This window comes from Homo sapiens, chromosome 9 (genome assembly GCF_000001405.40).
Source record: "Homo sapiens chromosome 9, GRCh38.p14 Primary Assembly".
NCBI lineage: Eukaryota > Metazoa > Chordata > Mammalia > Primates > Hominidae > Homo > Homo sapiens.
In genome coordinates this window covers 130,192,005-130,205,572 of record NC_000009.12, presented here as the reverse complement: position 1 = coordinate 130,205,572, position 13,568 = coordinate 130,192,005, and the positions used below count along the sequence as shown (strand labels likewise).

The following is a 13,568-nucleotide window of genomic DNA, read 5'->3' as shown; positions in this document are numbered from 1 at the left end:
GGCCACCGTGCCCAGGCTTTTTTTTTTTTTTTTTTCTAAGAGACGAGGTCTCACTGTATTGCCTGCAGCAGGGCAATCATAGCTCATTGCAGCCTCGACCTCCTGGGCTCAAGCCATCCTCCCACCTCAGCCTCCTGAGTAGCTGGGACTATAGGTGCATCCCTAAAGCAGGTTGCTTTTTTCTTTATAAGCTCTTTAGGGGAAGTGCCCCCACAGTGAGCACTGGGCCTCACACAGCTGAGGGTCCCTGTTTTGCTGCGGGAGCCTCCACACCGCCCCCTCAAGCCAGCCTCCTTGGCTCCCTGCTGGTCCTCTAATTCGCCAGGCTCGTGTCCCCCTCCCAGCCCTTGTCCTTGCTGTTTTCTACGCCTGGGTGGATATGACCCAAGTTCCACCACCGAGTCCTTATTTTCTAGGTTGCAGCTCAAATGTCAGAATTCCAGAGCAGCCTTGCCTGACCTCTCCCTCCTAACGAGGCCCCCACCTTGCTGTGCTCTCATCTTCGTTTCCCCACAGGACATTTCTCAGCCCACAGTGACCCCGCTTTGTACTCATGTGTATGTCGGGGCCTGGGGTTTTGTCCAGTTCTCGGTGTCTCCCCAGGGTGTGGGACGGTGCCTGGCACAGGGAGCACGCTCTATTGCTGCTTGATGAGTAAACAAAAGTCACTCACCCCCCTGGGCCTCAGTTTCCTCATCCGCCTAATGCGGAGAAAGTCCTCAATCTCAGGGCTGTTCTTTGGGTTCCACGGATGATGCCAGGACCATGATTACTACGGTTACTGACACCAGCAGAGAAAATGTTTCCTAGACTCTGTTCCAAACGTCTTATGTGAATTAGCACATTTATTCTTCACACTACTCCTAGAAAGTTTTACTATTATCCCCCTCCTTTTCCAGATGGGGAAACTGAGGTCCTAAAAAGTCTAGTCATTTGTCCAAGGTCACTCAGCCAGGAAGTGGGCAAGTCAGGATTCAAGCCCAGAGGCGGGCGCAGTGGCTCGCACCTGCCGTCTCAGCTACTCGGGAGGCTGAGTCAGGAGGATTGCTTGAGGCCAGAAGCTCAAGCTTGGGCAATATAGTGAGGCCCCAGCTCTACAGTAAAATTTTTTAAATAACTAGCCAGCCATGGTGGTAAATGCCTGTAGTCCCAGCTAATCAGGAGGCTGAGTCAGGAGGATCACTTGAGCCCAGGAGGTCAAGGCTGCAGTGAGCTTTGGTAGTACCACCACACTCCAGCCTGGGCGACAGGGCAACACCCTGTCTCTGAAAAAATAATATTAATAATAATTTAAATATATGTAATCCCAGCATTTTGGGAGGCCGAGGAGGGCAGATCACTTGAGCTCAGGAGTTCAAGACCAGCCTGGCCAACATGGTGAAACCCCGTCTGTCCTAAAAAAATACAAAAATATTAGCCAGGCATGGTGGTGTGCACCTGTAATCCCAGCTACTTGGGAGGCTGAGGCAGGAGATTCGCATGAACCCGGGAGGCAGAGGTTGCAGTGAGCTGAGATTGCGCCACTGCACTCTGGCCTGGGCAACAAGGCGAGACTCTGTCTCAAAAAAATTAAAGAAAAAAAATTTTTTAAATAAAAATTAAAAGAATTCAGCCTGCCCAGTTCTGGAGCCCAAGATCCCAGCCACTCTGCTGTCTGCGGCTCCAGGAGAAGGCCCAGGTGTGGGAAGGGGAGGACGCCGGGGGGAACTCAGGCAGGTCTCAGTGTCTTCATCTATGATATGCTGAGGTGCCATGATGGGGTCGTCTCCTCTGGGTCATTGTGAGAATGAAATGAACGAGGCTGTGTCTGAGAGCCTGGCTGGCTCACAGCGGTGCTTGGGAAGCATCCCCATCTCTCAAACACAAACCTCGTCCTCTTCCCTGCCCTGGAAGAGGCCCAGGCAGACAGCTCCTGGTGTCCCCTCCTTAGCCCCCAGTCCCCTGAGACCCCTGGGGAGGTGCCTTGGTCATGAGCAGCCACAATCGGGGCCAGGGCAATGGGCGTGGGGGACAGCTGCTCACGTCTGTCCCTTACCGGCCACCCAGCAACTCTAGCCACTGCCCTCCCCTGCCCTGGCCCTCCTTGGGAGATGCTGAGCTTTCTCATGGTCCCCCGAAGACTCCTTGCTGTCCACTCATTCATCCCTCATTCAAATATTCACACTGGAGGCTGGGCACGGTGGCTTACGCCTGTAATCCCAGCATTTTGGGAGGCCAAGGCTTGAGCCCAGGAGTTCAAGACCAGCCTGGCCAACATGGCAAAACCCCGTCTCTACAAATAGAAAAATTAGCCAGGCATCAGGTGGATGTCTGTAGTTCCAGCTACTTGAGAGGCTGAGGCAGGGGAATCACTGTAATTGAGCTGAGATGGCACCACTGTACTCCAGCCTGAGCAACAGAGCAGAGAGACTCTGTCTCAAGAAAAAAAAAAAAAAATATATATATATATACATACACACGCACACACACACACATATATATGTATGTGTATACACACACACACACACACACACACACACACACACATATTTACCCTGGAGGCAAGAGCTCAGCTTCTGGAGTCTCGATGCCTATGGTTCATCCCAACCCTGCCACCTCCCAACTGGACTTTCTCTGAACCTCAGTTTCCTCATCTGCCATGTGGAATGATGAGCTCTGTTAACCCCTAGTACTGCTCCCAGAAGTCAATGGCAGGCCACGTGCAGTGGCTCACTCCTGTAATCCCAGCACTTTGGGAGGCCGAGGTGGGTGGATCACTTGAGGTCAGGAGCTCGAGACCAGCCTGGCCAAGATGGTGAAACCCCGTCTCTACTAAAAATATAAAAATTAGTGGGGCATGGTGGCACACACCTGTAGTCCCAGCTACTCGGGAGGCAGAGACAAGAGAATCGCTTGACTCTGGGAGGCGGAGGTTGCAGTGAGCTGAGATCATGCCACTGCACTCTAGCCTGGGTGGCAGAGCGAGAGACTCCAACTCAAAAAAAAAAAAAAAACATGGATTTGAAGCACCAAGGACGATGCCTGTTGGGGGCCAAGCACCCACTGTGGCCAGGCCCTAGGGACACAACATGGACAAGGCCAAGCTAGCCAGCCCTCAGAGTGCCGACAGGATGCAGAGAGGGACAAAATGCTTACCTGCTGCCCAGTAAGTCATCGGCTGTCCCAGGGAGGCACAGGGCAGTGGGAACTCTGACAGAGGCCTGGGGGGTTTCAGGGGGTGGGGGGGAGGGGCGAGGAGGTAACAGCCCAGCAGGCAGAGGGAGCAGCCTGGGCAAACATCAGGAAGCCCCGGAGACAAAGGTGAGTTCAAGGAACAAACAGCAGTTCAGGCTGGCCAGAGGGTAAAGGGCAAAGGCCAACAGGCAGAGGACGCCAGACTGCAGGGGTCAACAGGGCCAGACTGAACCAGGCCTCGTAAGCACATAACCATGTCAAGGGTGAGGACTTCACCCTGAGGTCTGGGGAGGGTGGCAGACGCCTGGCATGGTCAGGTTTTTGTTCAGCAAAGACCCCTCTGGCTGGCGTGTGTGAAGGCAGGGAGAACATGTACGGATGGGGAATCTAGGGAGGTTTCATGGTGGAGGCGACTTGGGCTGAGCCTTGGGAGGGGCAGAGTTCAGATGGCCCAGGAAGGAAGGCGGGCATTCCAGGAAGCAGAGCCACATGGGTGAAGATCTAGAAGGAGGGTGTTTCTAGGGCACTCACCTGGGGAAGTGCAGAAGTGGAAAGTGAGGGCGGAAACTCAATCCCAGGATGGGGCACCTCCCAGCAAGGGCTCAGCAGAGCCAGGCGGGCCAGCATAGCCCTGCCCCATCTGCAGCTTGGACTTGAGGCAGGGAGGTGTAGGGAGTGGCCCTGGAGGCTCCTGGGGGGTGCCCGGCCCTGCCAGACTTGACTGGAAAATCTCCAAGCTCATTGCCTCATGTCCCTACGTGCCACCCCTACAGCTCAGCCACCTTACATGGTGAGCCTCCTGTCTGCTCCACATTCCACAAAGACGGACAATACACCGCCCTCCTCCCCCAGGCCCAGCCCTGGCACTGCTCATCCATTACAGGCCCCACTTATCCCTCACTGCCGCTTTTCCATTTGCTCCATGACGTACGGCCTCGGAATCCTTATCACGGCCCTCCAGGCAGCTACGACAGATTGAATAGAGCTGGCATCCAAGAGCAAACCCATTTGCCATCCCTGATCCAATCGAATCGATCATTCTATAGAAGGGGTGACGGAGCCCCAGCGAGGGGAAAGGACCTCTCAAGGTCATAGAAGGACTTTCTTATCCAAACCCTTCTCTTTGGTGAACAGGGCCTGGAATCAACCCTTCAGGCCTTGGTGGTCCCTAAAGATGCAACTCAAAGCAAGGACCACCAACAAACACCCCAGCGCCACCCCCAACCCAGTTCCACTGAAACCACGTCAGTCCCGCAAGGACAAAGGCCACTGAACAAAGGCTGTCTGGACCCCACGCTCAGGGGCCCCTCCACATGCCCCCATCCTGAGCAGCTGGACTGCTGTCCCCATCAGCCCACAGCCCACAAAGCCCACAGCCGCAGCCCCTCTACGGTTTGAGAAAAAGCAGCTACTCACCACTGCTGGACCTCCTTCTCGGTAACTGCAAGAGAAAGCAGAAAAGTAGGCTTTTAGCTCAGGGAAGGTGTCCCGGGAGATGGGCAGACATTCGCTGGGGGGCCTCCCCTCCAGCCCTCCCCTCCCCACGGCCATGTCCCCGGGCAACGGCCTGCTCTGGATGAGAAAATGCTCCCTTGGTGAGCAGTCCTAGCCAGGGGCTCTGTACCCACCACCCCAGCAGGGGACACTGGCCCCACCCCTTCCCGGTGCCCAAGTGCTACCTGCCACTGCCACTGCCGCTGCTGGGAGAGCCCCCAGGAACGCCCTGTGGCACTCAAGGGTTTGCTTCTCCCACAGCCCTTGCTCCCAGGCCAACATCTAAGACTTACTCGTTGCCATCTCTCAATCCCTGGGGACGGGATGTCAGGGAAGGCCCTGGCTTCCCCAGGCACTCGGCTGCCCCACCTATGTGGGGGGGTGGGGGGAGCTAGGCTGAAAAGGGGCAGCTCTCAGCAGAAGGGTGGACCACCCTCCCTGTCAGCCTGTCCCTGCAGCCCCTCTCTGTGGTCAGCCCGGGCTCTTTCACTGGCAAGACATGAACAGAGCCGTGAAGCAAAAGCTGAAAGAGGCTACAGAGAGCGGCTGAGCCTGGAGCCAAGCCCACATACCCATTCTTTACTGAGCCATGAAACAAACAAAAATGCTTTTTCTGAAAAGTACAGAATCGTTTCAAGTTGGAACCAAATCAATGTTCTCTCTAAAGTCACCGAACAAGAACACCAAACCACCACCAAGGCCACCCTTGCTCCCTGCCTGTGTGAGCGCGGGACGGCTCCTCCTGCACTCCCTGCCTTGGGCGCCTCATCCATAAAGTGGGCATCATATTATCAGCACCTGCCACACAGACCTGTTGTGGGGACTCACTCATAAAGGCATGGAAGCTACTGGATCCCTGGGGATGTCAGACACCTGGAAAGGCCAGGCCTGGCGTCAAAGAATGGAATTTTCCAAGAGAAAGTTTTGGCAAAGGGTACGGCGTAGGGCCCTCAAATGTGCTCAATACTGGTTTGTGGAATGAATGAATGAATGAATGAATGAATGAACACATGAACAGACAGGAAAGGGGTGTCAGGTGGAGGTCAGATGAGTAAAGGAACTAGAATCTATTCCCAGGGAAGTGGGAAGGAAGCCCAAAGAGGTGTCTCTGAATTGTTTGTGCCTGACCAGACTTGAGGAAGCCACTTTTCAAAAACCACTCAAAGCAAGCTCGCAACAGCTGCCAAATACCAAGAGCCTGCCGCAAGCCCGAATCTGCGCCCAGGGCGGGCCTCTGTGCTTTAGCTCAACGGCTCTTATGACAGCATGGAGGGAGGATGGCACAACTCTGCCCCAGCTCCAAATGTGGAAACTGAGGCACAAAGAGATCAGGAAGTGGCAAGGCAAGGGCCTGACCTTAGGTCTGTGGCTCAGAACCAGGCAGCCAGATTCCTGGGCAGGCTAGATGCCTCCATCCCCGTGCTGGTCAGCACTCTCCTCCCACAAGCCCAAATCAGAGATGGAGGAAGAGACCTGTCTGCAAGCAGGCCTCAGATAAAAAGAGAGGAGGCAGGTCAGGCACGGTGGCTCACGCCTGTAATCCCAGCACTTTGGGAGGCCGAGGCAGGCAGATCACAAGGTCAGGAGATCGAGACCATCCTGGTTAAAGCGGTGAAACCCCATCTCTACTAAAAATACAAAAAATTAGCCAGGCATGGTGGCACGCTCCTGTAGTCCCAGCTACTCTAGAGGCTGAGGCAGGAGAATCGCTTGAACCCGGGAGGCGGAGGTTGCAGTGAGCCAAGATCACACCATTGCACTCCAGCCTGGGTGACAGAGTGAGGCTGTGTCTCAAAAAAAAAAAAAGAGAAAGAGAGAAAGAGAAGGCAACAGCGGGAGATGCCAGTTACCCAGAAACACCGGGCCTGGAGTCAAAGAAAGCAATTTTCTGAGATAAAGTTTTGGCAAAGGGTATGGGGCAGGAACGGGTTCAGGATTCGGCATGGGGGTGGAGAGGGAAGGTGTCCTTGGTCTGATCCAGGCTGGCTGCCTGTGATGGCAGCTGTGATGGCAGCTGGGGCTGTGGGGCGGATGCTGAAAGCCCAAACCTGGAGACACAGGCGACCCATCACAGTACCGCCAGGAGCTCAGGGCCACAGGTGCTAAAGCCAGACCAGACCGCCTGGGTTCAAATCCGGCCCCACAGGGCACTGTGTGTCCTTGGGCAAATTGCTTCCCCTGACTGAGCCTCAGTTTTCTCATCTGTGAAATGGGATTGTTGGGAAAACTGAAGTGCTTGCCGCTCCTCAGCTTCACAAAAACCCCACAGGGAGGTGTGACCCCGTTTTCCCAATGAGGAATTGAAGTTCCAATGGGTCTGCTTATTTGTCTGAGATCACCTGAGGTCCCTTTGCCAGGAAACAGCAGAGCTGGGACGGTGCCCCTAGAGATCAGGATGGAGGCCCAATTGGATACAACTCCTTGAGTCTGCATGACCTTGTATGACCTTGGCAAGGGGTGGCAGCATTCGACACAAACAGCAGGAACTGGGTGGCATGGCCACTGTCTCAGGCGGGCCTCACAGTGCCAGAGCGGGGCTTCCCTGGACCCCCAGCTCCGAAGTCCCACTCTCCCTTGACACCCCCCACCCATGTCTCCCAGCAGCCTTCCCCCAGGGCTCTGCCTCAGTCTCTGCGTCCTTCCTCACCCCCAACTACACTCCAAGGATGCAGCAGGGAGGTGGGAGAAGGGCATATGACTAGGGCTCCCCCCATTGGAAAGGTCCCCCCACAGAACCCTGGGTGATCAGCAGGCAGCCGAGCCCCAGGGAACCGGAGCTAGGGTGGGGGAGATAAGTCCTGCCCATGCTTTAAGCAGCAAATTGACCTTTAGGAAACAGTTGAGGCTGGCAGGTATCCCCTGGCACCCAGCCAGGGCCCAGCAATTCTAACTGCTTCACTGCCTGGGGCCTTGGAGGGCCTTTTTTTTTTTTTTTTTCTGGAGACAAAGTCTTGCTCTGTCACCCAGGCTGGAGTGCAGTGGCACTATCTTGGCTCACTGCAACCTCCACCTCCCGGGTTCAAGTGATCCTCGTGTGCCTCAGCCTCCCAAGTAGCTGGAACTACAGGCATACACCACCACGGCCAGCTAATTTTTGTATTTTTAGGTAGAGACAGGGTTTCACATGTTGGCCAGGCTGGTCTCAAGCTCCTCATCTCAAGTGATACGTCTGCCTTGGCCTCCCAAAGTGCTGAGATTACAGGCGTGAGCCACCACGCCCAGCCACAGAGGGTCTTGAAGGACAGCAGGCAGGACCCACATCTCTGGGGTCCTGGCCACCTGCCCCCAGCCCTCCCGCCAGCCAGGGAGCTCTGGCACGGGTCAGGCTGTCCTTTGTCCAAACCCCAGCCCCCTGCTGAGCAGCTACCACCCCAACCTGGAGAGGAAGCTGAGCCGGGGTGGAGAGGCGACCAGAGGAACGTGCCCATCCTCAGCCTGGGTTTGCCCATCACCAAGGCCTGTGTTCTCAACCATTGTGTCTGGGTTCCCAGAAGCTCAACTCTTCCAAGATCACCTTCGAGATCTTTCTCTGTCCAGTGTCCAGTGATTCACTCAGGATTTTTCTTGAAATCATCTCAATTTGCTTTTACTTACCTGCTTAATCTAGCTTCAGCCTAAGCAATAATATCCATAAAGTTACCAGTGACTGTGCTGGTCATATCTTTTCTAATACACAATAAAAAATATAACAAATTCAAAAAAAAGCCACCGTCCTTGATCAAACCTGCCCTGCCTTCGATCGTGAAATAGCCCAATATCATGTACCCCTTAATTTGATGCAGTGGAAGGGCACGTTATCCGTGAAGGTCTCCCGCCAAAAATAATTAACCTGAGTCTAACCACAAGGACATAATCAGACAAATCCGGGCTGTGGGACATTCTACAAGACCACTGACCAGGACACTTCAAGTCAGGGCCAGGAAAGGCAAAGCAAGTTGGAGGATTGTTCCAGAAAAAAAGAGTCTAAACAGACGAGGCAACCAAATGTAACTCAAGATGCCTGGATCGGGTCCAGATCAGCAGGAAAAAACTGTTATCATGGCTGTCGCTGGGCCAGCTGGGAAGCCACTGCACTGTGGACTGGTAATTAGGTGCTGCCATGGGGATGAGGTGGGGGTGGTAACAGCACTGAGGCTAATGCCCTTTTTCTTTTTCTTTTTTTTTGAGGAGTCTCCCTCTGTCACCCAGGCTGGGGCTAGAGTGCAATGGTTGATCTGGGCTCACTGCAACCTCCGCCTCCAGGGTTCAAGCAATTCTCCTGCCTCAGCCTCCCAAGTAGCCAAGATTACAGGCACCTGCTACCACGCCTGGCTAATTTTCGTATTTTTGGTAGAGACGGGGTTTCACCATGCTGGCCAGGCTGGTCCCGAACTCCTGACCTCAAGTGTTCCATCCGCCTCGGCCTCCCAAAGTGCTGGGGTTACAGGCGTGAGACGCCGCGCCCAGCTTTGGAGATATGCTCTGAGCTATTCAGGGGTGAGGGTCAAGACGCCTGCAGCCTCTTGTGACATGGTTTAGAAATATACACACTCACGTATGTAGAAAGAGAGGGGACAGATGCAGCAGAGCCGGGGACTCGAGGACACAGAGGCATCCCTGCACCACCACATCAATGTTCCTCTTGATTTTTCAAAATAAAAAGTTGAGGGAAATGTTTGTCCTCTTCACCCCATAACCACTGTGCCTGCCTCCCCTCCCCACTGCACAATGCCAGGAGGGCTGGGGGGTCCTGCCCAAGGTCCTGTGCCCCCAGCAGTTCCCGCCAAGACAGGCACTGGGAGGGAGGGAGATGGGGGACAATTTGGGGGTTCAGCTTCCCTTTGCCTCAGCCTCCACCCAGATGCCAGAGTGACCTTCCCAGGCTCTGGTTCCCAGCCCGGCCCATTTTCCCCCTCCTCCCAGAGCCTCCAACTGCATGTGAAATTAACAGGGCCTCCGCCTCTGCCTCCCTCGGTGGGTCTGGGCTCTGGGCTCTGGGTTCAGGGCTCAGGGTTCAGGGCAGGGTAGGAACGCAGGCAGTCCTTGCACAGCTTGTTCCCTGGGTCACTGGCCCGCATCCTGACCCCACTGGAGTTCCTCTGACCGTTCCAGCCTCCAGGCCTTTGTGCTCTGCCAGGAACACTTCCTCACCTCACCCGTTCCACCCAGGGAAACCCCATCCATCTTTCAAAGCCTAGCTGCGCCCGAGCGCGGTGGCTCATGCCCGTAATCCCAACACTTTGGGAGGGCAAGGTGGGCGGATTACTCGAGGCCAGGAGTTCGAGACCAGCCTGGCCAACATGGTGAAACCCTGTCTCTACTAAAAATACAAAAATTAGCCGGGTGTGGTGGCGCGTGCCTATAATCCCAGCTACCACGGAGGCTGAAGCATGAGAATTGCTGGAACCCAGGAGGCAGAGGTTGTAGTGAGCTGAGATCACCACTGTACTCCAGCCTGGGTGACAGAGACTGTCTCAAAAAAAAAAAAAACAAAGCCCAGCTGGGATGGCCCTCTTCTAGGAGGCCCTCCCGACCCTGCCTTGGCCCCTTGGGAAGCCCCCTTCACATGAGGTCTGTCTTCCCATGGGTTCCACGACAGAGGGCCAACGGGGGTCTGACCAAGGGGGCACAGGCTGGGCTTGGGGGAGCAGTGGTGAAGTACAGCGGTCCAGAGAGGGCCTTGGCCAGCCCAGCAAGCACTTCAGGCCAGGGCTCCCTCTGATCTGTGGTCTTGGATGAGTGACCCCGCATCTCTGAGCCTTGGTTTGCTCATCTGTAAAATGGGACTCAGGCATCTAGCAGGAAGAGGAGGGACTGGTGCTCGGCCCAGTGTCCAGCACCCAGCAAGTGCGAGACAGAAGCACTTCTTCCCCTCATTTTCCTAGCTGGACACTAAGCCTGCAGAGGCCAGGACACTTCTCCTGGCCCATCCTAGCATCACCCTCAGAGCCTGGCTCAGCACCCTGCACACAGGGGACAGAGAAAAACACCTGCTGATTCCTCCTTTGTCATCCAGCCACTGGGCTGGGTTTAGAACACATCCTCAAACGTGTTTCTCATGCATTGACCTTCACAATTTCATCTGGCTTTGGCCAATTTTTAAAACGAACTCTCTCCATCACACTCTGCCTCCAGGCCTGCAGGCCCAGGCTCGTACCAAAACCAGGATTTAAAACTGGCAATGGGCCATGCTCTCCATGGGGCCAGACAGGGGAAAGTTCTGGGGTGCCATCCTGTCAGGGCCACTTGAAGCCTGGGTGATTCCAAACAAGTTTCTTAACCCCTCTGAACCTCCAAGTCCTCACCTGTAGGATGGGGTATAAACTCCTACCAGGCAGAGCCATTGTCAAGGTTGTTGAGGAGTGGATGGAGAAATCAGAGCCGACACAGGGCCCTGGGAGAGGGGGGGCTGGGCATCCACTCTACTCCCCTTCACTGACCCCCAGAGAGCCAGAGCTGCAGAAGGGGAGGGCAGCTGCAGTCTCAGAGCAGAGAGTGGGTCCTAGCCTTCGCCGCACCCCCACGCCCACAGACTCCAGGCTCGTACCCCACAGCCAGGAAGCACCCGCGGTGCCCACAGCCTCCTTTCCACCCCGGCAGCGCTCCTGAGGTCCCCAGCTCCTCTACTCCAGCTCCTCCTCCCTTCCACACAGCCCTTGTCTGCCAGGAATGAACACGAGAGCCAGTCCCAGGAGCCCAGGAGGATGTTAAGTCTGATTTTGATTTCCCTAAAGCAAAACACCTCTCTCCTGATTGAAGCTCAGCTCAAACATGGTGGGAGCAAAAGGCAGGGGCTGGCAGCCCCCTCCCGGCGCTGGCTTCAGCTAGAGGCATGGACGGCAGACGGCCAGCCAATCCAGCCTCTTCCGCCATCCCTCCTGGGGCGGACCTGGCCCTGGATCCATCTCCAGGGTTGAGGGCTGCCGGAGTGTCTCTGTACCTGGCCCCAGCCCTCCACCACAGCTGAAGGAAAACCGCACCAGCAAGAGGGCCTTTGGGTTTGAGCAGCACAAGAATAGAAGGCGGGGCCTTTGGGCCTGGCCACGAGTGACCCATCTTACTAAATCAGACAGTCCCCTCGGTCCTGACACCTTTGATCACTGACTGTCCTCCTTCCAGAAGCGCAGCTGGCCTCAGAAGCTCCTCCCAGGCCCACGCCTCTCCTGTGCTCAATCTCCCAGCACCAGGGCTCCTCCAAGCGCCCAGCTCACACGCTTTCCGGGGGCGGCTCTGCTCCCTGCACCCCTCACTCCCAGTCTCCTCCCAGCTGGCCCCTCCTGCAGTTCAGCTCCCCCACCCCCGTCCAAGCTCCTCACCGATGGCCCAGAGGCCCCTCAGGCTCCACGTGGCCCAAAGGGATCGCCCGGGCCTCTTCCCAGGTCCCCATCCAGAGATCTCCCTACAGGCAGTCCTGCACCAACTGCAGACAAGTCCCATCCAACCTGGCTGCCTCAAAAATACGAGAATGCCCCCACTGTCCAGGGCTGGCTGGACGTCGCCCCCACACCATCCCAGCTGCTGTGCCGGCCTCTTCTCAGCCCCCACCCCATCCCACTTTCCCATCCAGTCCCCACCTGCAGCTGCCAGCATCCCTAATGTGGTCACATTCCTCCCCTCCTAGAACCCTCCTCCAGAGCCTCAGTGCGTCTCCAGCCTCTCCAGCCTCACCCCTGCCCCTCCTCACAGCACCCCGCAGCTGTGTTCTCCCTGCAGTACCTCAGAGCCCCCTCGGTACCATCTCCTGAGAATAGGGTGCTCTGCCCCAAGCCCTCCCTGGGCAGCAACAGCACAGCTAAGTCAGAGCGGAGGGAGTGCACCGCTGGCCGCACACACCCTCCTGCCCCCACACCGGGCCCACCCCTGGGGAGGGGCAGTTCCTCAAAGCGAAGACGGTGGTGGTCTCTTGTGGGACCTGGACTCCAGGGATCTGCCACTCCGTTGCTGTGTGACCGGTTTTTTCCCCAGTTTGGGTTTCGGTTTCCCCATCTGTGAGAGAGGACATTACTAGCTGTGCCAACCATGGAGTACCGCACACTGGGAGGTGGGGAGGACAGAAAAGAGAGTGAAACACCTGTGGGGTTCCCACTGGGGTCCTGCTACACTCGAGGGCTGGGAAGCAGCCACCTGCTGCTCCAATCCTCCAGGTGCCCCAAGCACACAAGGCCTCAGATCACTCCCCCCACTCACTGCAGCACCGGCTCCTGGGGGAGAACCTCCCTGGAGTCACACGGCAGCATCAGGTGATTTCAGAAGGCCCCGGGGATATATGCTGGTGTTCCTGGGTGGGCAGGGAGTCCTGGCTGCCCACCTTTGCTCCTGACCCAATGTGTGAACGTGGCCACGCACCCTCCCCTCTCTGTCCCACGAAAGAGGTCAACTCCTGAGACCTCCAGGCCCCCCAGCTCCCACGCTCCACAAAGTGACCTTCAGGCAACAAGTAAATGAGGGTCTGGAGCGCCTCATTTCCCACAACGACAGGCCCCGTGTCCAGGAAGAGCAGCCCCCGAGAGGGCTGGAGTGAGGACAGGAAGGTGGGCACAGGCTCTGGGCCAGACAACGTGGCCGGGCCCCAGACTCATTAACCCTCGACCTTGGACAAGGGCGGCAGCCTCTTCTCTAAAATGGAGTGCTCGGCGGCACTGCCTCCAAGCTCAGAGTAACGTGACAGCAGACGCAGGAGCTGCCTGGCACGAGGCAGTCAGCATGATCATCACTGCTGTTGTACTTATTACTCGATGCCCCTGCCAGGGTGAGAAGAGAGACCACCCCCCACTCCCAATCCCATACCTGTCTGCCACCACTGCCTGGCTAAAGGGCAGCTGGGCCCCAGCACCAGGCCTGAGCTGCCCCAGAAAGGAGGCCTGGCCTGCTGCCCAGAGCTCCCGGGCACTCCTGGCTGAGCAAAGCCGCTGCAGGAGCCC

General features: G+C 56.4%; 1 protein-coding gene across 2 annotated transcripts in view, besides 2 other annotated features; it reads right to left on the bottom strand.

Moving 5' to 3' along the window:
• NCS1 (neuronal calcium sensor 1) overlaps nucleotides 1–13,568 on the bottom strand; it is a 64,900-nt gene that overhangs the window by 31,731 nt on the left and 19,601 nt on the right. The window contains exons 1-2 of one of the 2 annotated variants that reach the window (NM_001128826.2): nucleotides 4,962–5,173; nucleotides 4,591–4,615 (exon numbers count right to left, since the gene is read on the bottom strand). In NM_001128826.2, the coding sequence (NP_001122298.1) occupies nucleotides 4,591–4,615; nucleotides 4,962–4,971 (35 nt within the window). In that variant the 5' untranslated portion in view covers nucleotides 4,972–5,173. Of the gene's footprint in view, nucleotides 1–4,590; nucleotides 4,616–4,961; nucleotides 5,174–13,568 lie in introns of those variants that run through there. The other variant, NM_014286.4, reaches the window with a different exon arrangement.
• Nucleotides 7,352–7,851: an enhancer, noted in NCBI's record as "H3K27ac hESC enhancer chr9:132960001-132960500 (GRCh37/hg19 assembly coordinates)". NCBI's record gives its function as "activates a minimal SCP1, AML or CMV promoter by ChIP-STARR-seq in primed H9 embryonic stem cells {active_cell/tissue: H9 hESC(primed)}" and the evidence as "EXISTENCE:reporter gene assay evidence [ECO:0000049][PMID:30033119]".
• Nucleotides 7,852–8,353: an enhancer, noted in NCBI's record as "H3K27ac hESC enhancer chr9:132959499-132960000 (GRCh37/hg19 assembly coordinates)". NCBI's record gives its function as "activates a minimal SCP1, AML or CMV promoter by ChIP-STARR-seq in primed H9 embryonic stem cells {active_cell/tissue: H9 hESC(primed)}" and the evidence as "EXISTENCE:reporter gene assay evidence [ECO:0000049][PMID:30033119]".